At 37.5% G+C, this 26993-nt stretch overlaps 1 protein-coding gene across 3 annotated transcripts in view; it reads right to left on the bottom strand.

Annotated features, from left to right (window-relative positions):
* Positions 1 to 26993, bottom strand: part of ATXN10 (ataxin 10) — a 173474-nt gene that overhangs the window by 105075 nt on the left and 41406 nt on the right. For all 3 annotated transcript variants that reach the window (NM_013236.4, NM_001167621.2, XM_047441314.1), the window contains 3 exons: positions 21740 to 21820; positions 10643 to 10808; positions 1394 to 1502 (listed from right to left, as the gene is read on the bottom strand). In NM_013236.4, coding sequence (NP_037368.1) covers positions 1394 to 1502; positions 10643 to 10808; positions 21740 to 21820 — 356 coding nt within the window. The remainder of the gene's footprint in view (positions 1 to 1393; positions 1503 to 10642; positions 10809 to 21739; positions 21821 to 26993) is intronic.

Raw genomic sequence — 26993 nt, 5'->3', positions numbered from 1 at the left:
ATTACAAGGCTCTTCTGCCTTTGCTTCAAAAAATGATTAGAAGGCTCTTCTGCCTTTGCTTTAAATTTTTTGACTCTAGTTTTGGGGAGATAAGCCATAATGACTACCCCAACTCAGAGTTTCTATTTATCTACAAAAAAAGTTAGCTAAAAGTTTGCTAGCATCCTTCTTACAAAAAGGTTTCCAATCTCAACTTCTTTATGAAAGAACTTTTCTAATAACTTCAGTCAATGAAGTCTAAAACACAATATCTATCCATAATGATGCATATGACAGAAACCAAGAAGAGTGCTTATTTTTCCCTCATCCAACTGGCCAAATCATCAGAAGCCAGCATATGTTCTCTATACTTCACTCCAGCTACATTCAGGAGAAAGAACTTACCACTGCTCTACTCTATGAGCACCTCCAGGCAGCCAATGAAAACAGACAATCTTCCAGGAACTGCATTTCAGTGTTTCCACATTATCTCATTTAACCCTCTCAACAAACCTATACAGGAAGGTATCACTTTCCCAATTTTATAATGAAGAAAACAACAGGCTCAGAAAAGTTGGCACCTGGCAGAGCTGGGATGGCAACCCACATCGACCCTGGCTCCAAACTCAGGCTCCTTCCATAATCACTCAAGTGTGCTAGGTTTGTGGTGTTTTATTTAAATTATCACTAAAAGCAATGTACTCAAAATACAACACTGATGAGGAATTCTAAGGATCTTCCTCTACAGCTGACTGCTAGCTCATCTATACTGCTAGACACAAAGTCATCTTTCTCAGGACACTGGTCTCCAGAGTAAGTATCATCTTTTTAAAGGAAAAAATTGCAAATAATGAACAGCAAACCTAAGCATGGCTAGCCACAAGGAACAGGTTCTACTTGAATTATTTTGCAAACAGCTTTTTAGCAAGGTTGGTAATACTTTTAACAATGGTTTCTTGTTTAAAACCTTTTTCTCATAAGATTTGTATATATAATATGTATAAAACACCATTCTATGTGTTCACTAAATGTAAATGGGAAAAATTTACTGCCACATTTTACAAAGCTATAGTAATATAAAACCACAATCATCATCGCAAACCTGCCTGCCCCACCTTCTTCATCACATCCTATATTGATGAAACATCTACTATATGCATAACAGGCATTGTTATCCTCACATTACTGAGAAGGAATCTTCAGTTAACAGAAGGGAAGTGGCTGAACAAACACATGGGCTCAGGTTTATCTGGCCTGCCTGAACTGTTACAACACTGTGATTCCTCTCAAAAAAATATATTCACAAAATTCCCAAAGTACACTGAAAATTAAGGATTTGTATTTGGATTTATATTACAGTATGACAAGCCAAAGATTTCTTAGCTAAAAATACAATGTGTGATATTTCACTCACCAATCACTCTTTCCAGCAAGCCAGGGAAAACCTGCAGATAGCCGAGCAGCTCAGTATTCACAGTCATTTCGCACAGGACGTCGAGAAGCCTAATTGTAGCCAGTGCCTCCTAGAAAGAAAAGAAAACATAACTTTTTAGCATATTTTAAGAGAAATTATTTAACTGTTATAAATAACTGTAAGAGAATAAAATATTTCAATAAATTTAAAGAGTCTGTGCTTGTAATAAGTCAAAGAGAAAAACAAAACTATGAAGAACAAAACAGAAGTATGAAATATGTACACGACTCATCATTTTCACTAACAGCAGACATCTGCCATCAAGAATGCAAGATTATGTGTCATTATGTGTCTTCTTGGAGCAAAGAGTCAGAAAAGTTCTTATTCAAGCAAAAAGACATTCCAACAGTGGAATAAATGTTCAAAATTACTAGCTATGTACATGACATTTATGCAAATACTTTCTTTTTAAAGCATTCCCAGCATGCAAATTCCACTTTAAAGATACAAATATCCCATAAAATACATTAATTTCTTGTCCACAGAAATCCTGTAAAATGCTGTGGTTGAAAAAACTCTGGCTTTAAGAACTTGCATAATTTCTGGGTAAATATGAACTTCTATGCAATATCTTGGTAGATTAGAAAGACAGTACTGTTTGAAAATGCTACTTCACATAGCTACTAAATAATTTATCAAATACACTGCATGACCAAGAAACTACCCAGTACCAACTGCATAGCATTAAGTAGTCTATACAAAAATTTTAAATGTAACTTTTGTATAGATTTTGAACCCCATTTTTAAAGTACCCATCATTTGACAAAATGTGGCAGAGATTATAAAGTTAGTCCATAAAGATAACATTCTTCACATTGGGAGGCCGAGGCCAGAAGATCACTTGAGGTCAAGAGCTCAAGATCAGCCTGGTCAATATGGTGAAATCCCGTCTCTAGTAAAAAAAAATATAAAAATTAGCCACGCTTGGTGGTGGGTGCCTGTAATCCCAGCTACTAGGGAGGCTGAGGCAGTAGAATCGTTTCAACCTAGGAGGCAGAGGTTGCAGTGAGCCAAGATCACGCCACTGGACTGTAGCCTGGGCAACAGAGCAAGACTCTGCCTCAAACAAAAAAAAAAAAAAAAAAAAAAGAGATAACATTCTTCAAAAGAAAGACAAATTACTTCCTTGTTAGTTCTAAATGTGTATTTACTGTTTTCTAATTAAGAGATTTAAAGGTAATACATTAATATAGTATTCTGAAATCTCAAAATAAATAGCAAAAAACAACTCATATTTTTAATGTCTTGGATCTTTAATTTTATATCATAGCCTTCTTTTGCTAAAGAGTTAAGTGGGAAAATCTAGATTAGAAGTCTAGATTAGTAGTACCATGTTAAAACGAGTCTTGACCAACTCCATCAATTTCACAAAGCTTCATCAACCTCTTTTGTTAAAGGTGTAGCTGCCCAGATTGTTATCGTGAGATACCACTGCTCCTTCAAGAACAGACCTGGGACAGCCCATGCAAAAGGTAACCCTGGACATCTTGTCATAGCAGACAACAAAGACGCTATTACAGGCTACTAGGGTCATGTCAGAAATTCGGAATCAGAAACAACTTGATGAGGCTCCCACCGGCCAGCAGTGGCACATTAAACATCAGAAAGAATTACAACGGTAACGGACTGAAAACAAATCAAGCGGTTTTACAGCTATGGCTTCATAATGAAAATAAAACAAAACAAACCAACTCACTGGTCATCTTTGAATGATGCCACAAAACCAACTCATTATTCTGAAGATTGGTAATCAAGAGGGAAAACAATCGAGCACTTATCCTGCCTTTCTTCATCCAGTGTACCTCACAGAACCTAAGAATTGGTTAGGGAAAGTTTCTCTTTAAAAAATATTCCTGCTAATAAACAAAAAATGAACAATAATGTTAAAATGCCACCATTTTGCAACCCCTAAAGAATTCATGGATCTAGGTGATCATTAATGACTGCTAATATCACAGAGACAACCAAGCCTCATGTGCTTCTTGACGAAAGTAGTATCATCAACAGCGAAACACTACTGCAAAAAATAAACAAAAAAAACTAACCCAAATCTGAATATGCCTCTGGAACGAATTTTCATTCACAGGAAATGCAAGGTAAAGAAGAATATGTTAAGTGCCACCCTGAAGACATACTCATCAAAATCTAAAATCTAGAAAAGTCTACAGGAAAAACAACCCAGTTTCTCCAACAAATAAGTAGCAAAGAGGAAAAAAAGAAGAGGAAAGGGGAACCTATACACTGGAGTAAAGTTATGTCAATCACTTGCCCTTATCTGTAAGGTGTTACAGATAAGGTGGCCCTTATCTGTAAGGTGTTTCAACAAAATAAACTTGAAAAAGATTATTAGACAATGGGGGAAATCTGAATACTATTTATTTGATAATAAATGTTATTATTAGTTATTTTAGATGTTTTCTTCATATTATACTTGTGTCTGAAAACTCCTTATCTTTTAGAGTAACTGATGAAATATGTTGGAGCTTTGATTCAGTCCACGGCAACTGGCATAAGAATGAGTGGAACTGTGGAGGAAAGAAGAATGGTGATGAAGGGGAAGCTGCTGAAGCCAGGGGATGGCATATGGAGTATAAGTACACTTTCTTCTTAGTCTATGTTTGAAATTTTCCACGTTAAAATGACAGAAATAAAATTAGAGGTTGGAAGAGATGAACTGGAAGTCTCCTTCCAGCTCTTAAATTCTATGATATTAACTAAAATAAACCTAAAAGAAAATTAATCTATCCCCACCTAACACATTCACAATTTTACTCATTAAAATCATTTTATTAAGAAAGTGTTTCTAATGAGCATCTGGAAATTAGTAACGAAAGAACAGCCAGGAAAAATTACTGTCTTAAAAAATAAGATTAATGAGTAAAATGCCCTTCCAGATATTTAAAAGTCTTATGAAACTAATATTAATTAAATCAGGCACTAGGGCAAAAAAAAAAAAAAAAAAAAAAAGACAAGCAAATGAAGGGAACATCGTGAAAGATTTTGAAGTGAGCAAAAAAAAAAAGATTAGTCTCCTGTCTAGCTCACCTGTCTCAGTTAACACTGTCATTTCGTATCTTTGAGCAATTTTACAGCTTTGTAAGTTACAGAAAACTTATATTAATACAGAATTATTCCTGTCCATTAAAATGCAAATTAGTTATATCTGCCTGGACTGCAACTACTTTGTTGATAGATCAGTTTCTGCATTTTTTTGTGTGTTCATTTCAGTGTTCCTTTATGGCATATAAACACATACCTCTCTGAATTCTCCCTTCTCCAGTTGTTAACATCTTACTGGTTCCCTCCAATTTGTTTGGAGGGAACCAGTAATTGATCCAAATAAATAAAAGAATTTAGGATATGATATAGGTAGGTGGGAGGATCCTCAAGCCCAGGAGTTGGAGAATATAGCAAGCTACGACTGCACCACTACGCTCCAGCCTGGGGAACAGGGCGAGACCCTGTCTCAATTAAAAAAAAAAAATTAGTGGAAAGGATAAGATTATTCACTAAATGGTACTGAAATAATAACAGATAACATTTAGGGAACATTAACTATGTACCAATCTGTATATTAAATGTTTATATTAAAATACAACCTGGCCGGGCACGGTGGCCCATGCCTATAATCCTAGCACTTTGGGAGCCCGAGGCGGGTGGATCACCCAAAGTCGGGAGTTCAAGACCAGCCTGGCCAACAAGGCGAAACCCCATCTCTACTAAAAATACAAAAATTAGCCGGACATGGTGGTGGGTGCCTGCAGCTACACAGGAGGCTGAGGCAGGAGAATCGCTTGAACCTGGGAGACGGAGGTTGCAGTGAGCCAAGACCACACCTCTGCATTCCAGCCTGGGCAACAGAGCAAGACTCTATCTCAAAATAATAATAATAATAATAATAATAATAATATAACCCATTTCAAGAAAAAGAAGGGCAGAGAGAGGCTAAGTAACTTTTCCAAGATCATATGCCTGTAACAGAAGAAATCAAGATTCAAACCCAGTCAGTCTCACACCAAAAGATTTTATAATCTTGGATAGTCAAAAGACATAAATAATTCATTTGGATCCATAACTCACTCCTTACTCAAAAATAAATTCTAGATAAATAAAAAATGAGAACTAAGTACTGAAAGAACTAGACTATGTAGGTTTGTATTTCCACAATCTAAGTGGAGAATTTACTTAAAAAACAAACAAACAAACAAAAATCTTCTTGGCTGTCAGTTGTCAAAAAAAAAAAAAAAAATCCAGAGGCCAGAAGGATAAAATTGATAACCTCAACTAGATTAAACACAAACAAAAAACGACTACAAGGCTAACAGAACATCAGAAATAAATTCAAACAAAAATTACGTAAACAATAGTTTACTGTATGTATGACAGAAAGACTAATTTCCAGAAAATGCTTTTTAATAAATGCATTTTAAAGAGTAACCTAATATGCAAAAACAAACATAATGGTCACTGAAAAACATTAACGAGAAATAGTAATTAAATCAGATCTGCAAAAGGCAACTCGTGCAATCTTGTGTTGCACTGATGTGCAACTTAGAAATCTCTCTAAAGTTTTTAAATACACATAATTCTTCAACCCAGCAATTCAACTCCAGGAATTTATAACCTGGATTTGATTTACTTAACCGAAATTTGTACAAGGATGTTCACTATAACATTATTTGTAAAGGTTAAAAGAAAAAAAAAGCAACCTGAAAGCAGCTGGAAAGTCTATAGGGAACAAATGAAAAAATTATGATGAGTCTATATAGTTAAATATTATTCAACTATTAAAAACATACAATGAATATACACATGCTAAAGTGCAAAGATGTACAAGTTACATCATAAGTAAAAACAGCAAGTTGAAGAATAGTGCAAAAAATGAAAACAAAAAACATATAGGTGTGTATATACAAAAAAAGACCTTTGAAAAGAAAACAAAAAAAAAAGGATATGCAGATCTATAGAAAACAAATGGAGGCTGGGCAAAAAGGGGAAAACTTTGTAACTTTTTTTTTTTTTTAAGATGGGAGTCTTGCTCTGTCGCCCAGGCTGAAGTGCAATGGCACAATCTCAGTTCACAGCAACCTCCGCCTCCCGGGTTCACGTGATTCTCTGCCTCCGCCTCCCGAGTAGCTGGGACAGCCTCCCGAGTAGCTGGGATTACAGGCATCCGCCACCACACCCGGCTAATTTTTGTATTTTTAGTAGAGACGGGGGTCTCACCATGTTAGTCAGGCTGGTCTCAAACTCCTGACCTCAGGCAATCTGCCCACCTCGACCTCCTAAAGTGCTGGGATTACAGGTATGAGCCACCACGCCTGGCTGAAACTTTGTAACTTTATGTTTCACTGACTTCAGCTTAAATAATTTTTAACAACAAAGCAAGCATTATTTGCGTAATACAAAAATTTAAGCCCTTAATATGTGGAAAAAATACACTATTTATTGTAGAATATGTATTAAATATGTATTATGTAATTAAATATGTAATACCTACTGCATAACAGGTACTACAGTATGGCCTAACCTGGGGTTGCAAAGATTAAAACAGAATGCAAATCCCACAACCTGGCAACAATTATTGTAATATATGGATATCAGAAAATACAAAGCTAAAAGGAATGTTTTTTGAGCTTTCAGAGAAAAGGCAAGGCTTGCTACAAGTGAACAAGATTCTGAACTGACAAAAATATATCAAAAACTGGAAACAAGTATACAAAATATATCAAAAGACAGGAATAAGTACATTAACATGAGAACCCAAAACTATTTTTATAAAGAAACGTATGAAGAAAACCTTGGGATTTTAAAGCCAAACAATTACATAAATTAAAAAACACATGCTATAAATACAACTGTTTCCATTCTCACTTTTCAGTCATAGCATTGAGAACTTTACTGAATATCTATCTTGTCCTAAAAAGATCACCAATGAGTAAATGCAGTGGTTTGGCAGAAGAATGGCTGGGGTGGAAGAGGCAGGTGGAAAACCCTGATTTGTAGCATTTGCTGGTTTCCATGGCACAACTACTTCCACCATGGATGATTTCAAGGTACCAACAATTTAACAATCAGCTCACAAATTTCTAAGCACTTAATAATCAACTCTTAGAAGTCACCACAGGCCAGCTCCAGTATAGCACTTGGTCTTTGGCATATTTAAATACTGGCAAAGTGGTCCTCTTTTAAAAAAAAAAAAAAAGTATGACATATGTGCATTAATACGCACAAGTCATAAATGTATAGCTCAATAAACTTCCAAAAGTAAATTAATTTGGCTTTGCAAAAGAAAACTGCCTACAATTTTTTCTTTTTTTTTGGAGACAGGATCTCACTCTTCCCCAGGCTGGAATGCAGTAGCGCAATCACAGCTCACTGCAGCCTCAATCTTCTGGGCTTAGGCAAGCCTCCCACCTCAGCCTCACCGGTGGCTAGGAACACAGGCACACACCACCACACCCAGCTAATTCTTTGTGTTTTTTTTTTGTACAGATGGAGTCTCCTTATGTTGCCCAGGCTGGTCTCCAACTCCTGGGCTTAAGCAATCCTCCCACGCCTTGGCGTCCCAAAGTATTGGGATTACGGGCATGAGCCACTGTTCCCAGTCTACAACTTTCCATTCCATTAATATATAAAAATACTTCCCATCTTAGAGAAAAAAGTCCAAAGGAAAAATAGAAGTTTTCCTAAATATGAAAAGTTACACCAGGAATTTCTCACTACAATACTGAAATCACCTATATTTTAAACAGAAGTGCCCTGAAAAGTTTAAAGCTGTGATCTGTCTTTTCTCTGTCTCTTAGAGAATTTTTAAAACTTTTCTTAAGCATGACTCACTGCTCCTCCTGCTGGAAACAAAGGCAAATCTATCTCCAGAAAGTAAACGCAAGCCCCTGAATAAAGACCTTTCTTTCCTATCACAGAAAATGAGAACTAAAGTTAACGAAATGATTAGTAAGATCTAACATGGTCTATATGACAAAGCACAGAAAATCAATATCAAAATGGTCCTGAACGAAAGTATATTCACAAAAAAGGAAATACACTCTCGTGGGCGAGCAGTCATAGCCATGAGCTGCATTTACAACAGGAGTTAACAGTTTCACAGTATCGGATCACATTCTCTACATTCCCGCCTGTGGACAGTGGATGAGTATCCACTCTGGATTCCAATCCCTCTCCTCCAGTGTTGCCCATTTGCCAACAGTGATTCCAGCATCAATTACTCCCTCTCTACCTGACCATTCATATCAGCATACAAAGGAACTCTCTATCATCTTTTATTGTTTAAATCAGCTTTATTGAGGTATAATATACATGCAATGAAATACACCCATCTTAAGCATACAGTACAAAGTTGTGTCAAGGTATACAGCTAAGTGCCACATTCTACTATCCAGAAAGTTCCCTCGTGTTCCCCTGCAATCAATTCCACTCATTCATTTCCAGACCCAGGTGACATCTGATCTATTTTCTGTCATGACCGATATATCTGGCCTGCTACAGAATCCCACGGAAATGGAATCAGCCAGCATGTTTTCTAGTCTGTCTGGCTTCTCTCCCTCAGCACTTCTGAGATTCTTCCCTGTTGTATCACAAGTGCATCCCTTTTTACAGCTGAGTGGTCCAGAGAAAGAACAATTCTAACTTTATGACAGAAGAAAGGGAGAATAGATAAAAACAGGAAGTTCTGAAGTAAAGACAAGGGATAGAGAATTAACATAAGCTCCCTTCCACGCCCTGATAAAACAAGACCTGAATGATCTAAGGTAGGCTTAAGGAGAATAAAAAATAGTTTAAATAATTAACCAGGACAGTATACCACTAGGAATCTCCTATAAAGAAGAGAAGAAGCAAACTGTCTAGAAAGCAGTTTGGAAGTATGTATCAAGAGCTTTAAACATGTGATATCCTTATACATAGCAATTTCACTTCTAAGATTATGTCCTAGGATAACAGCTGTGGAAATGTGCAAAGATGTAACTATAAAGGCATGTACTACAGTATTATCTAAAATAAGTAGAAATAAGAACAACCTACTGCCAGATGTGGTGGCTTATGCCAGTAATCCCAGCACCTTGGCAGGCCGAGGCAGGCAGATCACATGAAGTCAGGAGTTCAAGACCAGCCTGGCCAATATGCCGAAACCCCGTCTCTACCAAAAATACAAAAATTATCTGGGCATGGTGGTGGTGTGCACCTATAATCCCAGTTATTTGGGTAGCCAAGACAGGAGAATTGACTGAACCCAGGAGGCAGAGGTTGCAGTGAGTCAAGATTGTGCCACTGTGCTCCAGCTTGGGCGACAGAGCAAGGCTTTGTCTCAAAACAAACAAACAAACAACCTAAATGTCCAACTACAGGGATTTGGACAAATAAATAGGAAATTCTTTACTTGAAATGTTATGTTGGCTTTTTTTTTTTTTTTTTTTGAGACAAGGGTCTCACTGCATCACCCGAGCTGGAGGGCAGTGGGGCAATCATGGCTCACCGCAGCCTCAACCTCCTGGGCTCAAGTGACCCTCCCACCTCAGCCTCCCAAGTAGCTGGGTCTATAGGCATGTGCCACCATGTCCAGTTAATTTTTGTATTTTTTACAGAGATGGGGTTTCACCATGTTGCCCAGGGTGATCTGGAATTCCTGGGCTCAAGCGATCCTCCCGCCTTGGCCTCCCAAAGAAGTGGGGTTACAGGTGTGAGGCACCGTGCCCAGCCTATGTTGGCATTTATTTAAAAAGACATTTACAATGTATTATTTATTTATTCATTCAGCAAATACTTGTTCAGTGCCTACCATATACATAGTACTATGGACACAACAGTCAAAATTTCTGCCCTCCTAGAGCTTACATTCCGAAGAAAAAATGGGAACCTGCAAACAGAAGGCACAGAAAGGCTCCACTTTTAATAGATACATATGTGCACATGTCTACGTCTGTGTGCATGTATCTGATGTCATCTGTCTAGAAAATTAACCAGAATTTGCCTAAGTCATTGACTCTGGATGGTAGGAATAAGGACACTGTTTTCCCTTATCTAAATTTTCCAACTATTCTCATATATGGATACATTACTTACATAATATTTTTTAAAGCTTTTAAAAAAGAATTCTCATACAGGACTTGGCTGAGTTAGAAAATCTGTCCATTCTCTTTTACCCGAGATTGGGAAATCTGCCTCCCTTACCTCATCATCAGGAGGCTCCTCAGAGGCCAGCTTGAGCACAGTCTTGCACTGATCCACAAAGGTGCTTGCAATCAACTCAGCATGCCGCAAAAACACAGGGATGTCATCCTTGGTGAGTGGCTCATCACTCGTTATCTTGGCTATCATAAGGTCTAACAGTGTAACTCTGTAAAACATAAAGGATTTCTGCATGAATCTATAATACTTAAATTATACAATGCTAAAAATACCTAGGAAAGCAACTTTAAGGGAATATTATTATTTTAAATTCCTTACCTTGCTTCTAATGTCTAGCTAGGAAAAACATGAATAAAGTTAATCTTCATCAATCACCTATTTTTTAAATTCTTCATTTCTTTGATGTGTCTTGGCCACAGAAACTAGAATTGCTTAATGCACCTTTTATGTCCATTACTTTCAACATTAAAATAATTGGACATTTTAGACATGCTCAGTTTTTTGTATGAACACATCGACGACACTAGCAACAGCAAAGTGAAACGGGCTAACATTCATTCACCATTTTCTACGGAGCTAAGCATGTTACACACATTGTATCACTTAATCCTCACAAAAACTCCATGAGGCAGGTACTGCCATTAGTTTCACATTAAAGGTGGGTAAATAAGGCTTGGTGAGGTTAATTAACTTGTCCAGTGTCACAAAACCACTGAGAGTCTAAGCTAGGATTCAATCTGTGCCCTGAGCCAGGTGCTTTAACCACTCATTTGGTAGTCTTTACTGTGAAACTTTACTATTTATTTTAGTTTACACAAACACAAATCTGAAGACCAAGACTGTGCCATTTTTACATCAATATATAAGTTACCAAATAAATATTTCTTTTCAACCATCTCTTTCCTTCTCCTAGGAAAAATGAATCACACATAGGTCAATCTGTCTAGCATAAATCAATTAGCACATTTGCTCAAAATTACATTTTGATTTGGGATTATACGTATAATTCTAATTTCTATAGAAGACAGGGTACGAACATCTAAACTGCTTATTAGCAAATAAGGGTAAATACACTCAAATTAGGCATGGAACATTTCTTACCAAGAAAAAAATTTAAATTATTTACTGCTTCAAGTAAGAAATAAAACTATAGCAAACGCTTCCTGTACTGTGGCCAAATGATGGGAAATATCATCAGTCTGGAAAAATCACCTACAGACCTTAGCAATTCTCAAAACTCCTAAAACGTCAGATTTCTTGTGACAATAATTAATCCAAAATAAAACTAATACACGGTCCACTCAGTTGAGCACAGTATTAGAGAATTTCTGTTTTCCCTTATTTATATATAATCTTTAAAAATAAATTGAGGCTAAAAGTTCTAAAGCTTGAAATAAAAGGTCGACAGGCACCAGCATGGAACCTCTTGAAAGCACAAAATGCACAGCACCTATAAAACAGTAACACAATGGAGAACACAAAATATCCAGGTAACAATCAACATGATGGCTGGGATAGTACCTCACATCTCAGTATTAACATTGAATATAAATCATCTAAATGCTCCACTTAAAAGATACAGATTGGCAGAATGGATTAAAAAAAAAAATCACAAACCAAATACCTGCTGTCTTCAAGAGACTCACCTAAAACATAAGGAATCTTACAGAATCAAAGTAAAGGGGGTGGAAAAAGATATTTCATGCAAATGGAAACCGAAAGCAAGCAGAACAGCTCTTATGTCAGATAAAATAGACTTTAAAGCAACAACAGTAAAAAAAAGACAAAGAAGGTCATTATATGATGATAAAAGGATCGATCCAACAGGAAGATATTATAATCCTAAATATATATGCACCTAACTCTGAAGCTCCCAGATTCACAAAACAGTTACTAGACCTAAGAAAAGACAGACCACATGGCAGGCCACAAAGCAAGTCTCAATTTATTTTTTTAAAAATCAAAATATATTGGCTGGGTGTGGTGGCTCACACCTGAAATCCCAGTACTTTGGGAGGCCGAGGATGGGGGATCACCTGAGATCGGGCATTCGAGACCAGCCTGGCCAACATGGTGAAACCCCATCTCTACTAAAAATACAAAAACAACTAGCCAGCCGTGGTGGCAGGGGCCTGTAATCCAGCTACTCAGGAGGCTGAGGCGGAAGAATCACTTGAACCCAGGAGGCAGAGGTTACAGTAAGCCAAGATCGTGCCACTGCACCCCAGCCTGGGCAACAGAGCGAGACTCAGTCTCAGATAGATAGATAGATAGATAGATAGATAGATAGATAGATAGATATAGATAGATAGACAGACAGACAGAACTATATCAAGTATCTTCTCAGACCACAATAGAATAAAACTAGAAATCAATTCCAAAAGGAACCCTCAAAACTACATAAATACACGGAAATTAAACAAGCTGCTCCTGCATGATTTGGGGGTTAACAATGAAATCAAGACGGACATTTAAAAGTTATTCAAAATAAATGATAACAGAGATATAATTTATCAAAACTTCTGGGATACAGCAAAAGCAGTGCTAAAAGGAAAGTTTACAGTGCTAAATGCCTACATCGAAAAGTCTGAAAGACCACAAGTTGACAATCTAACATCATACCTCAAAGAACTAGAGAAACAGAACCAACTAGGCCAGGTGTGGTGGCTTACAACTGTAATCCCAACACTTTGGGAGGCAAAGGCAGGAGGATTGCTTAGCCCAAAAGTTTGAGACCAGCCCGGGCGACACGGTGAAATACTGTCTCTACAAAATATTAAAAAATTAGTCAGGCATGGTGGTGCATGCCTGTAGTCCCAGCTACTTGGGAGGCTGAGATGGGAGGATCACTTCAGCCCAGGAAGGTCAAGGCTGCAGTGATCGTGCCACTGCACACCAGCCTAGGTGACACAGCACGACCCTGTCTCAAGAAGAACAAGCCAAACCCAAAGCTAGCAAAAGAAAAGAAATAACAAAGATCAGAGCAGAACTAAATGAAATCGAAACAAAAGATCAAAATATAAAAGTTGGTTCTTTGAAAAAATAAATAAAATCGATAGACCATTAGCTAGATTAACCAAGAAGAGAGAAAATTCAAATTAGCTCAAATAGAAACGGAAATGGAGACATTATGGCTGGCACCACAGAAATACAAAAGACCATTTAAGGACACTATGAATACCTTTGTGCAAACAAACAAGAAAATTTAGAGGAAATGAACAAATCTCTGGAAACGTACAACCCTCCTAGCTTGAATCAGAAAGAAATAGGAGGTCTGAACAGACCAGTAACAACCAGTGAGATTGAATCAATAACAAAAATTGCCAAAAAAACAAAAAACCCAGGGCCAGACGGATACATGGCCAAATTCCACCAGACATTCAAAGAATTGGCACCAATCATACTGAAACTATTCCAAAAGGTTGAGAAAGAGAGAATCCTACCTAACTCTAACCTAATTCACTCTATGAAGCCAGTATCACTCTGATACCAAAAGCAGTAAAGGACATAACAAAAAAAGAAAACCACAGACCAATATCCCTGATGAACATCAGATGCAAAAATCCTCAACAAAATACTAGAAAACTGAATCCATCGGCACAGCAAAAAGATAATTCACCATAATCAAGTGGGTTTCATCTTAGGATGTAGGGATGGTTCAACATACCCAAGTAAATGTGACTCATCACATAAACAGAATTAAAAACAAAAAAAATATGATCATCCCAATAGACGCAGAAAAAACGTTCAACAAAATCCAGCATCCCTTTATGATAAAAATCTGGGCATAGAAGGAACATATCTCAAAATAGTAAAAGCCACACATGACAAACCCATAGCCAACCTCATACTTAATGGGGAAAAAGATGAAAGCATTGCCCCTAAGAACTGGAACAAGACAAGGATGTCCACTTTCACCACTTCTATTCAGTATAACACTGGAAGGTCTAGCCAGAACAATCAGGGAAGAGAAATAAACAAAGGGCATCCAAATTGGAAAAAAGGAAGGCAAACTATCTCTGTTTGCCAATGATACGATCATATACCTAGAAAACCCTAAAGACTTTACCGAAAGACTCCTAGATTTGATCAATGAATTCAGTAAAGTCTCAGGTAACAAAATCAATGTACACAAATCAGTAGCACTGGTATACATCAACAATAACTAAGCTGAGAAACAAATCAAGAACACAGTCCCTTTTAAAATAGCTGCAAAAAAAAAAAAAAAAAATCAAATGCCTGGAAATATATTTAACCAAGAAGGTGAAAGATCTCTACAAGGAAAACTATAAAACATGGCTGAAAGAAATCACAGATGACACAAACTAATGGAAATACATCCCATGCTCATGGATTAGAAGAATCAATACTATTAAAATGATCATATGCCCAAAGCAATATATAGATTCAATGCAATTCCTATCAAAATACCAACATCATTTTTCATACAATTAGAAAAAATAATCCTAAAATTCATATGGAACCAAAAAAGAGCCCAAATATCCAAAGCAATCTTAAGCAAAAAGAACAATTCTAAGGCATCACATTACTCCAACTTCAAATTATACTACAAGTCTATAGTAACCAAAACAGGATTGTACTGATATAAAGCTAGATATACAGACCAATACAACAGAATAAAAACACCAGAAATAAGGCCAAATACTTACAATCAACTAACCTTCCATAAAAGCATACAAAAACATAAACTGGGGAAAGAACCTCCTATTCAATAAATGGTTCTGGGAAAACTGGATAGCCACAGGTAGAAAAATGAAACTAGATCTCTCACCATACACAAAAATCAACTTGAGATGGATCAAAGATTTAAATCTAGACCAGAAACCATAAAAATTCTAGGAGAAAACCTAGGAAAAACTTTATGACATTGTCAAAGGCAAAGCATTTATGACTAAGATCCCAAAAGCAAATGGAACAAAAACTAAATAAATGGGACCTAGTTAAACTAAAATGCATCTGCACAGCGGAAGAAATAATCATCAGAGTAAACAGACAACCAACAGAATGGGAGAAAACATTTGCAACTATGCATCTGACAAAGAACTAATATCCAGAATCTACAAGGAACTCAAACAAATCAGTGAGAAAAAAACAAATAATTCCATCAAAAAGTGGGCAAATGACATGAATAGACATTTCCCAAAAGAAGATCTACAAATGGCCAACAAACATGAAAAAATGCTCACCATCACTAGTCATCAGGGAAATGCAAATTAAAACCACAATGAGATGCCACCTTAACCTGTCAGAGTGGCCATTATTAAAAAGTCAAAAAAAACAACAGATGTTGCCATGGATGTAGTGAAAAAGGAACGCATATACAATGCTGGGGGGAAAGTAAAATAGTAAAACCTTCATGGAAAATAGTATGGGGACTTCTCAAAGAACTAAAAGTAGACCTACCATTCAATCCAGCAATCCCACTACTGGGTATCTACCCAAAGGAAAAGACACCTGCACGCGTATGTTTATCACAGAACAATTCACAATTGCAAAGATATAGAACCAATGTAAGTACCCATCAACTGAGGAATGAACAAAGAAAACGTGATATATATATATATACACAATGGAATACTACTCAACCATAAAAAAGAATGAAATAATGTCTTATGCAGCAACTTGGATGGAGCTGGAAGCCTTTTATTTTTTTTTTTTTTGAGACAGGGTCTCACTCTATCACCTAGGCTGGAGTGCAGTAGTGTGATCTCACTGCAACCTCCGTCTCCCAGGTTCAAGCAATTCTCATGCCTCAACCTCCCCGAGTAGCTGGGATAACAGGCAAGCGCCACCACGCCTGGCTAATTTTTGTATTTTTAGTAGAGACGGGGTTTCTCCATGCTGGCCAGGCTAGTCTCAAACTCCTGGTCTCAAGTGATCTGACTTCCTCCACCTCCCAAAGTGCTGGGATTACAGGTGTGAGCCACCATGCCCAGTTGGAGGCCATTATTCTAAGTGAAGAACTCAGAAATGGAAAAATCAAATACCATATGTTCTCACTTACAAGTGGGAGTTAAGCTATGGGTACCCAAAGGCACACAGAGTAGTATAATGGACACTGGAGACTCAGCAGGCGGGAAGTTAGGAGGAGGGTAAGGAATAAAAACTACATATCAGGTATAATATACACTGCTCAGGTGACAGGTGCACTAAAATCGCCGACTTCACCACTATACAACCCATCCATGTGACCAAAACCACACCACTATACAACCCATCCATGTAGCCAAAACCACACCACTATACAACCCATCCATGTGACCAAAAATCACACCACTATACAACCCACCCATGTGACCAAAACCACACCACTATACAACCCATCCATGTGACCAAAACCACTTGTACCCCAAAAGCTACTGAAATTTTATGTCTATATAAAATATAGATATACCTATCTATATATATCTCTATCATAAGTGGATCTATCTACATATATATATATACACACACACACATATATATATATAAACACACACACACATATGACTTTCAAGGAATGCTAAGAGGCCACCTATTCCACGTGGCCCAAATGCGTACTCTAAATATATTCCTTTTAAATTGGATTACATAATGTAACAGTTATTGCTAAGTATAAGAAGTCAGGATCCCTGGCTTCAGGGAATTTGGCACCTAGTTCACTATTTCTTGAATAGGTAATGAAATAGAAGAAAATAATTTTATCAGATTTGTGAGTGTTAAGGTATCCACAGATAGGGATGTGGAGAAATGAGAAAGAAAACAGATGGATTACAACTGAAGAAAAAAAACGAACAATAGTGCAGATCCTGAATCAGGGGCAGATCCCAAATGGGCAGTCCTGAGGTGAGGACAGGAAGGGTGGGCCCCAAGGTGGTGGAAATCAAAGTTGTTCAGCAGCAACAGGAGACTCCGGGGGTCCAAGCGGATGAGGTGCAGGGAGATCTGCAAGTGCTAAAGGGAGTAGAAGCACACACTGCCTTCCTTACACAATGACACACAGGCCAGCCTCCTCTGGCTCAACTTCTCCCTGGCCCAGCAGATGCCGCCTGTATAATGCAGCTTTATTATATGGTTACAAGATGAGAGAGCTAACGATGTGGGTACTGAGTGATTTCAAAGGAAAGAAGCAGTCAAAGTCAGAAATGAATCTTTAAAATATAAAAGTACAAACTAAGTTTGACTATCACCTCAGAATAGACTATCCTTCATTAAATGATCCTACTTACATTAAGTCATCTGCCATTTAAACCTTCTAATGGTTCCCACTGTTAAGGAATGAGTCTAAAAGCTCTTTAGTCTGGTATACGGGTCTCCCTACCAGACACTCCACCCAACCCTCTATCTCTTCCTTGAAAATATAAAAGAATACAAGTGGTCTGACAAATGCTAGTTACTCATTGACTTATTCACTGTGGTGTGAAGGATGCAAAAGTAGGAAAGACCCAGCTAAAGGGGTTAGAGGCTACAGCCGTCTAGAATTATTACACATTGGTGTGAAAGTCTTGCTCCCTTAACCCAGAAATCATCACTCAGGCTGCTCTGAGTTCACCAGACACACCTCTCCAAACAGAGCCATGCTGCCATAATTTTGTCTCTCAATCACTGGCTGTCATTAGCATTCTATTTCTAATTCTCCCCTGATTAAATACAGTACTTACATAGTCTGCCTTAAAATTACGATTCCTGTTTTGTTTTGTTTTGTTTTGTTTTTTCATGTGACAGAGTCTCGCTCTGTTGCCCAGGCTGGAGTGCAGTGAAGCAATCTTGGCTCACTGCAACCTCCACCTCCCAAGTTAAAGTGATTCTCCTGGCTTAGCCTCCCGAGTAGCTGGAACTACAGGCCTCAGAACTCCAATTTGGAAAATGTCAAGAATAATACCTATTTCACAGAGTCTGTGAGGATTAAATGACAAGGGCTACATGGTGCCTTCTATACATAACGGTGATGCTACCTGGAGAAAACGGCAAGGTCATCAGCATAGTAGCAGTAGTTGTTAGACTTGTAGTTGCAGTAATAGTAGTAAGAGCATGGAAGCAGAAATAGCAATAGCTCAGGTTATAGATTAAGGTATTTGCCCTGGGTTACAGAGGTACTGAGGTGGTATTTGAACTCTTTCTGATGCCAAAGTCAATTATCTTCTTCCCTGCAACACGTTTACGGGGGTGACCATTACATGCCAGGCACTGAGAGTTTTATACACATTTCAATCAGTTATCATAACAATTTCATGGGGTAGCTACTATTATTCTCATTAACCTATCCAAAGTAGTAAGCGGCAGCACTAGCATCTGTCCTTAACTACTATGCCGTACACAGAGATCATAAACCTGAAAACTACACAAGCTGTTTACCACGAGCAGCTAGTCCAATTTGTTAATATTCACTCCAATTCACCTGGAAAGGAGACCAGACAAGTATGTAAATGTAGGCTCTCATTTTTGCTGAATCATGCCACGTGAATTGATGATGAGTCTATATCCAAAATTTCCCCACCGAGTAATCTGCATGAATAGACTACCAGCCTCTGGGTGAAGAAGTCAACTAATTTTGACAACAATGAAAAGAACTAGCACAAGAAAAAAGCTTAAGAATTTACACAGCACTGTCATTCTTGTACATAACAACACATGGTTATTACCCTCACAGTAAGGGCAGGGACTGTGTCTCTGTAATGCTCACATGCACTCACTTGCCCTCTCACCTCCCACCATGGGATAACACAGCAAGAGAGCCCTCACCAAATGCCAGTGCCATGTTCTTGGACTTCCCAGCCTCAGACTGTTAGAAATAAATTTCTTTTCTTTATAAATTACCCACTCTCCAGGACTCTGTTATGGCAGCAGAAAACAGATTAAGACAGTAGATGCACCATTTACATTCCCACCAGTAGGAAATAAACAGTGCACAAGGGTTCCAATTTCTCCATATCCTTGCCCAAACTTCCTCTTTTCAGTTTGTTGATAGTAGCCATCCTAATGGGTATCAAGTGGTACCTCATTGTAGTTTATTGTTAATGGGTACAGAGTTTCTGATACACAAGATGAAAAAGTTCCAGAGGTTCACTGCACAGCAATGTGAACATCCTTCACACCCCCTGAACCGTACATTAAAAAATGGTTACAATGGTAGTCTGGCATGGTGACCCACACCCGTACTCCCAGCAACTGGGGAGGCTGAGGTGGGAGGATTGTTTGAGGCCAGGAGCTTGGGGCTGTAGTGCACTACGATCACACTTGAGAGCAGCCACTGCACTCTAGGTTGGGCAACACACAGCAAGACCCTGTCTTATACCTTTTCCAAAAAAAAAAAAAAGGTTACAATAGTAAACTTTATATTATGTGTGATTTACCACAATTTTTTGACAAAGGCTATTGTCAAAATCTAGTCAAAGATTCCATAGGGTAAACTAGGGCTGTGACAAAAAAGAGAATAAATACATAAGACCTTGGGATAGTATAACTGATAAGGTTTACTGACCAGTATGAACTGAAAAGGTAAAGTGGAGAAGCTGAGTATAACCTTGAGGCTTCCAACTTAGAAGATAAGATTACATTAATCAATATACTAGAGGAACACTTTATTGAGTAAGAATATTCATTCATTCACTCATGCTTTCACTGAAAAACTATTTTTTTTTCTTTTTGAGCACCTGCTGTGTGCCAACCACTGACTGGAAATGTGGAATGAAGAATAAGAAGGGATGAATCCTTGCCCTCAGGGTGCCAACAATCTAATGGAAATGTGCTACAATAACAAGCAGGTATGTGACACAACACGATGAATGAATGATGTGATGAAATGACAGCTCATCTCCTCCAGAAGAAAAATAAAGCAGGGGCAAGAGGAGGTGACAACTGAGCAGAACCTTGAATGAAGTAAGGATGCACCTGATACAACTTTATCAATAAAAATAAAACATTTTTAGTCTACCATCACCATGTAGTTATGTAATAAACCATTTAAAAATAGATAATTTTGATAGACTATGGAAAATATCAGCTTGAATATTAAAATACAATTAAACTGTGCATTCTTCCTGTATTCAGGTGTTCCTTACTGCAAAAAAAAAAAAATACTAATTTTTAGCACTGTATGTCGTATTATCTCTTTTAGGTCAAAAAACTACAAATACTTCTCTATCTGTAATGGGGGTATACATATAGGGAAAGAAGCACTGGAATTGGACTTATAAACCTGGTATTTCATATGACTTTAAAAGCATAAGCTTTTCCTGTTTGAGATATTAAAGAAGAAAAATGACCTAATTAATAAAAGACTACAAAAGTACACAAAGCTTAACTACTGAAACCTAAATACAAAGTAAAAAGTCCAAAACCACTAAAACTCGTGACTACAATCAAAAGATTAACAACTTTAAGAGATTTTCATCACTAGATCTGTAGTTTCTGAATATATTTTGTTATTTTCCTAAGGCAACATTTCTAATAAGGTTAGGAAAAATATATTCTATTGAAATGAAGTGTACTGCAAATTATTTATTCAATCTCCTTAATTTACAGGTCAAGAAACTGAATCCCTTGTACCTTACCATAGAGGTTTAGGAAAAAAAAAAAAAATACACACACACACGAACCTGAATCCCAACAAGGTCACATAAAGAACTATAATCACAGCAAAGCACAGGGCCAGTGTCTTAGAACTCCTAGGTCACTGTTTTTCCTACTACAGTAACTGTGACATTGTGGACGGGCGTCAATTTTATTTTAGTCCAAATTATCCATTAGAAACCTACAAACCTAGCAGAGTGTATCACAAATAATAACACCCATGACCTAAACAAATGAGTACACCTCAAATATTCAACTGTAATACACAGTTACATAAATTACTATTCTAAAATCCAGGCATATGCATAATATTTTGTTCTTAATGTTTTTCTTAATATGCATTTACTGAATAATGGCACCAACCTGGATCCTGCTACCCTCCATAAATCACTGCCTACTGTGGCTAAGCTGTAATGTTAACCAACCAATTTAAAACCATTACCAACACAGAAACATGTATTTAGAGATTCTGTGCCAACTCAGAAACCACACAGCTTTTCAGTCACGTGCATCGAATACCCTATATGGAATGCTAAATACTCCAGACCACGCTGGTTGGGGGGTTACCTTTCTTGATTGTTCAGTTTGGGAAACATGGCTTGTACCAATTCCGGGCTTTTCAGAAAGAGGTCTGTAATAATCAAGAACCTAGGGAAAAAAGAGGAGGAAAGTTTGGTTACTTGAAACATAGTAAAAGAGACATGCCCTTATCTACTTTATAGGCACCACTTACACACAAAAGCATTTCTTTTCAGTGAATTTTTGATTTGCTGTAATCTTAAATGTCTTAAAAGGTTCACATACTATTAATCTATCAGCAGCTAAAAGGAAAAAAAATCCTAAAAATATTTTTCTCCAATTTTACTTCTGAAAGCTTTATGGAAATAATTTAAATTGATTCAACGGGAAGACAGGGCTACTATAGCTGTTATCTAAGTTGAGAAAGAAAAATTCTTCATTTAGCAACAAGATCAGGTATAAACAAAAAACATATTAAATTGGTTTAGTCAGAAGCTAACTGCTATAATGAACCAGAGAAAGACTTGTCACACTTCCATTACTGGCTTGATTATTCACTCTTTAAGAATTCTCAAGTTACCAAGAAAACATCCTCATTGTCAAGCAATGCACTCATCTAAACTTAAGAGATCAACTTATGGAAACCCCAAGGCAAAGATTATAGGCATAGTTCTTCAAAGTACCCCTGTGACAACTAAAAAGATTCAACACTATTATTAATTAATTATGAATTATATTTACCAGAGGGCATCTGAGGAAAAGACTTAAGAACTAAGGAATATACTGATTATAACCAGGTTATAGTAATAAAAATTGACTGCAAGCATTAAATATATTGACACATAGTTTAATCACTTAACAATACAAAAATACAATAAAACTATATTCAGTCTGATAACCAAATGAAGCATATTAACTACTACAATACACTGTCACTTCACATAAAAGCGAAATCCAAATACATATTCTATTTCCTCTACAGCATTTAAAATAGCTGATCAACACTCTGATGTAAAATATTCCTAAAAATAATGGATAATATTTGAAATTCTCAAACAGTATTCCTATCAATCTGGGCAGGTCAATAGAAATCTATGCAATCCCAGATGGATACACAAACTAAATTGAGATCTTAAAGCTCATTCATAATTCAGGTACTTAGAATTTAAAGCATTTTCCCATAAGAATAGCAAAAACGCAATATTCCAAGTCACAAGCCATATTGCCAAATATATTCTCCAAACAATAAAGACCCATATTTAGTCAGATAATTTACAGAAGAACATGTTAAGTGCTGACAGATACACATTAAGGATTATATAATAGAAACAAATGTATCTAACCAATAGGCTGGGGGCAAGAGGGGTGACAGACAGGGGGCAAGAAGATCAAACAGGCTAGAGGAGGTATTTCGCCAATCCCTAGAAGAAGGAAAAGAAGATAGCATTTAAATTAGGAGGGGAAAAAAAGGACTTAGAAAAACAGCAAGAAGGAAAGAACAGCAGTGTGTCTGGGGAACTACAAGCAACAAAATACTATTAGGGCTTCAAAAGGAAGTCAGGACCCAAAAGCGTGGGTCTTCAGAGTGTCTCAGGTGAAGAAAGTTGCCTCAACCAAGGTTTGAGTTTATTGAAGACTGATGTGATAACTACACATTCTTTCATAGTGTTGGTAATTAGTGCTCTCTTTCTTTTTTCTTGATCAATTTTGTTGGTCAAAGATCAACTTTTGCCTTTGTGAATTTTTTCTATTGTTTTTGTCTTATGTTTCATTGATTTCTGTCATCTTTTATTTCTTTCTTTCTTACTTACTCAGGACTTACTATGCTCTTCTTTTTCTATCCTCTCAAAGTAGAACTGTGGGTCACTGATTTCAGACCTTTCTTTATTAATAGAAACATTCCAGGCCGTGGCTCACACCTTGTAATCCCAGCACTTGGGAGACTGAGGTGGGTGGATTACTTGAGGTCAAGAGTTTGAGACCAGCCTGGCCAACACAGCATAGTGAAACCCCATCGCTACCAAAAACACACAAAAAAAATAGTTGGATGTGGTGGTGCATGCCTGTAATCCCAACTACTCGGGAGGCAGAGGTATGAGAATCACTTGAACACAGGAGGCAGAGGTTGCAGTGAGCCAAGATCATGCCACTGCACTCCATGCACTCCAGCATGGGCGACAGAGCAAGACTCTATCTCCAAAAAAAAAAAAAAAAAAGGAAGCACTCAAAGCAATAAGCTCTCCTCTAAGCGCCGCTTTCGTTTTTGTTGTCTTTTTAAGACATGGGGTCTCGCTCTGTCACCTAGCTGGAGTGCAGTTGTGCGATCATAGCTCACTGCACCCTCAAACTTCTAGGTTCGAATAATTTTCCCACCTCAGTCTCTCAAGTAGATAGAACTACACGCATGTGCCACCATACGCAGCTTTTTTTATTTTTATTTTTTTGGCAGAGACAGTGTCTTACTATGTTGCTCTGGCTGGTCTTGAACTCCTGGCCTCAAGCTATCCTCCCTTCTCAGACTCCCAAAGTGCTGGGATTACAGGCATGAGCCACCACACTTGGCTGCTTTTGCTTTATCCCACAAAACTTGGTACTTCAGGTCAAAATATTTTCTAATTTGCCTGTGATTTCTTTTTTGACAAATCAATCAGATGTGTTAATTTCCAAAAGTTTGGAATTTTTCTAGAAATCATCTTATGAGTAAGAGAATGTGCTCTATGATTTCAATCCCTTACACATTTACTGAAACTTTTGTACAGGCCAGCCTATGGTCTACCTTAGTGAACATGACACATGCAGGTGAAAAGAAAGTGGAGTTTGGAAGTACTAAGGGAAGGTCTATAAATATCACTCAGGTGAAGGTGGCTACCTACGACAGTACTACCAAGATCATCTGTATCAGCGGTGTCCAATCTTTTGGCTTCCCTGGGCCACACTGGAAGAAGAATTGTCTTGGGGCACAGATAAAATATACTAAGAATAGCTAATGAGCTTAACAACAACAACAACAGCAAATAACAAAAACAACTCATGTTATAAGAAAGTTCACAAATTTGTGTTAGGTAGCATTCAAAGCCATCCTGGGCTGCATGCGGCCTGCAGGTTGGACAAACTTGATCCATATCATCATGTTTATATAATGTATAAAACATCAGTCTATACTGATATTTGTCTATGAGTCCTGCCCATGGCTGAAAAGCAGGTGTTAAAATCTCCAACTATCGCTTCTGCTTCTGGGCATAATGGAATAACAATTTACCCCCTACCTTAAACAACATAAAACCAGACAATATATATAAACAGTTTTTAAACAGTGGGCAACAGACTGGGTCTGCTTCACTTTGGAAATTTTCTTCTTGAAAAACCAAAAATCTCCTAACAAATGTTCAATAAATGTGATTTGATCAATATGTTCATAAAATCCTCAAGGACTTAAAATAGTAGAACTGAGACATCGTAAAGGAAGGACTGAGTTCTGCATGCTGGAATGCGTGGTTAGGAAGCAAAAGTTGAAGTAAAAAAGTTGTCCATGGATGGAGCAGTAAGGGTATAGGGACTAGGGCAAGGACGGAGGAGAAGGGAAGACAGGTCTCAGCCATGACAGTGCTCTGTTGCCGGGACCACCAGCATCATCAGAAACAAAAATGAGAGTGAATCCACACTGCAACCTTTAAACCAACATAAATTCCAAGTAAATCAAATACTTAAACAACAAAATTGAAATGATATACTAGAAGAAAGCCTTGGTAGAGGAAAGGCCTTTATAGCTATTATCAAAACTACGGAACACATTTTTTTAAAAGACTGATTAATTCATCTACTAAAAAAATCAAAAACTTTTACATAAAAAAGTATCATATGGCTGGACACAGTGGCTCACACCTGTATTCCCAGCACTTTGGGAGGCCAAGGTGGAAGGACTGCTTAAGGCCAGGACTTCAAGACCAGCCTGGGCAACATAGTGAGACCCCATCTCTACAAAATAAAAAATTAATCAGCCAGGTGCGGTGGTATGCACCTGCGATCCCAGCTTCTCAGTGGGCTGAGGAGGGAAGATTACTTGAGCCTGGGAGATTGAGGCTGCAGTGAGCCATGATTGCACCACTGCACTCCAGCCTGAGTGACAGAGACGCTGTCTCAAAAAAATAAAAAATAAAATACCACGAACAAAGTCAAAATACAAAAACAGAAAAATACATGTATTTTATTTTATATGATGGGTGATATCCCTAATCTAGAAAATACTCCTATACACTGATAAAGATCAATACCCCAATAGAAAAATAGGTAAAGAAAATTAGAATACACATAAAAGAAAAAAAAGGTTCTCCAACTCATAAGAAAAATACGAAATAAAACTGTGCAAGAAGGCCGGTTTACACCTTGGCAGAACTGGCAAATCCAAATCTTGCTAACACTGTTAGCAATGATGTGGGACAGGGGAGTTGACACTGGCACAATAGCGATGAAGGACAACCTGAAGTGTTTGTCAAAATTATAACAGTACATTCCTTTTGACCCAGAATTGCACTTATGAATTTATTCTACAATCATTACTTGTCCACATGCGATATGACATGTGCAACCAAGGCTATTCATGGCAGTAGCTTCTAGTCGTGAAAAAACGGAAACAATCAGAATGCCCATAGAGAAGAGACTGATGAAATAAATCCTGGTATATTCATACAATGAAAGATCTTTAACTGAGGAAAGTCTTTATATAGGAATATGGAAAGATCTCAGAAATGTACTATTTAGTGAAAAAAGCAAAAAGCCCAACAGTGTGGGGAGAAGTAGGGGTTGTGGTTGGAAGAACTAGGTAAACGGCTGGGGGTAAACTATGCATTTTGATATCTGAACCACATATAGTCTATCAAATAATTCAGTATGTAATGTAAGCAATATATACAGGCAAAGTAAGCTCACACTTCGTTCTACTTAATAACCATTCTGCTAAAGAGTGACAGTATTTCTGCATCTTGGTGGAAGTACCATTCAGATGAACCTGGCTCCTCAGGCTTTAAGGACGAGGAACGGTCATATAGGAGAACTCTGTAAGTTCGCCTAAGGAACTCCTCAGTTTAATCTTGAAATTCATCATTTAAATGTCATCACAGAAAAGCTAACATTCACAAATCACATTGTTGATGCCAAAGCACTAACTACACTTTACATCATTTTCCACACTTGCCAAAAAACAAAATGCATGAAGGTCTCTCTTCTCATCTTTTTCCTTCTCTCAATCTTTCTCATTTATGATTGATTTTAAAGTACGTGAACAGTTGCAGGCAGATGAATCAGC

This window comes from Homo sapiens, chromosome 22 (genome assembly GCF_000001405.40).
Source record: "Homo sapiens chromosome 22, GRCh38.p14 Primary Assembly".
NCBI classification, from domain to species: domain Eukaryota; kingdom Metazoa; phylum Chordata; class Mammalia; order Primates; family Hominidae; genus Homo; species Homo sapiens.
This window is presented reverse-complemented; position numbering and strand designations above follow the sequence as displayed.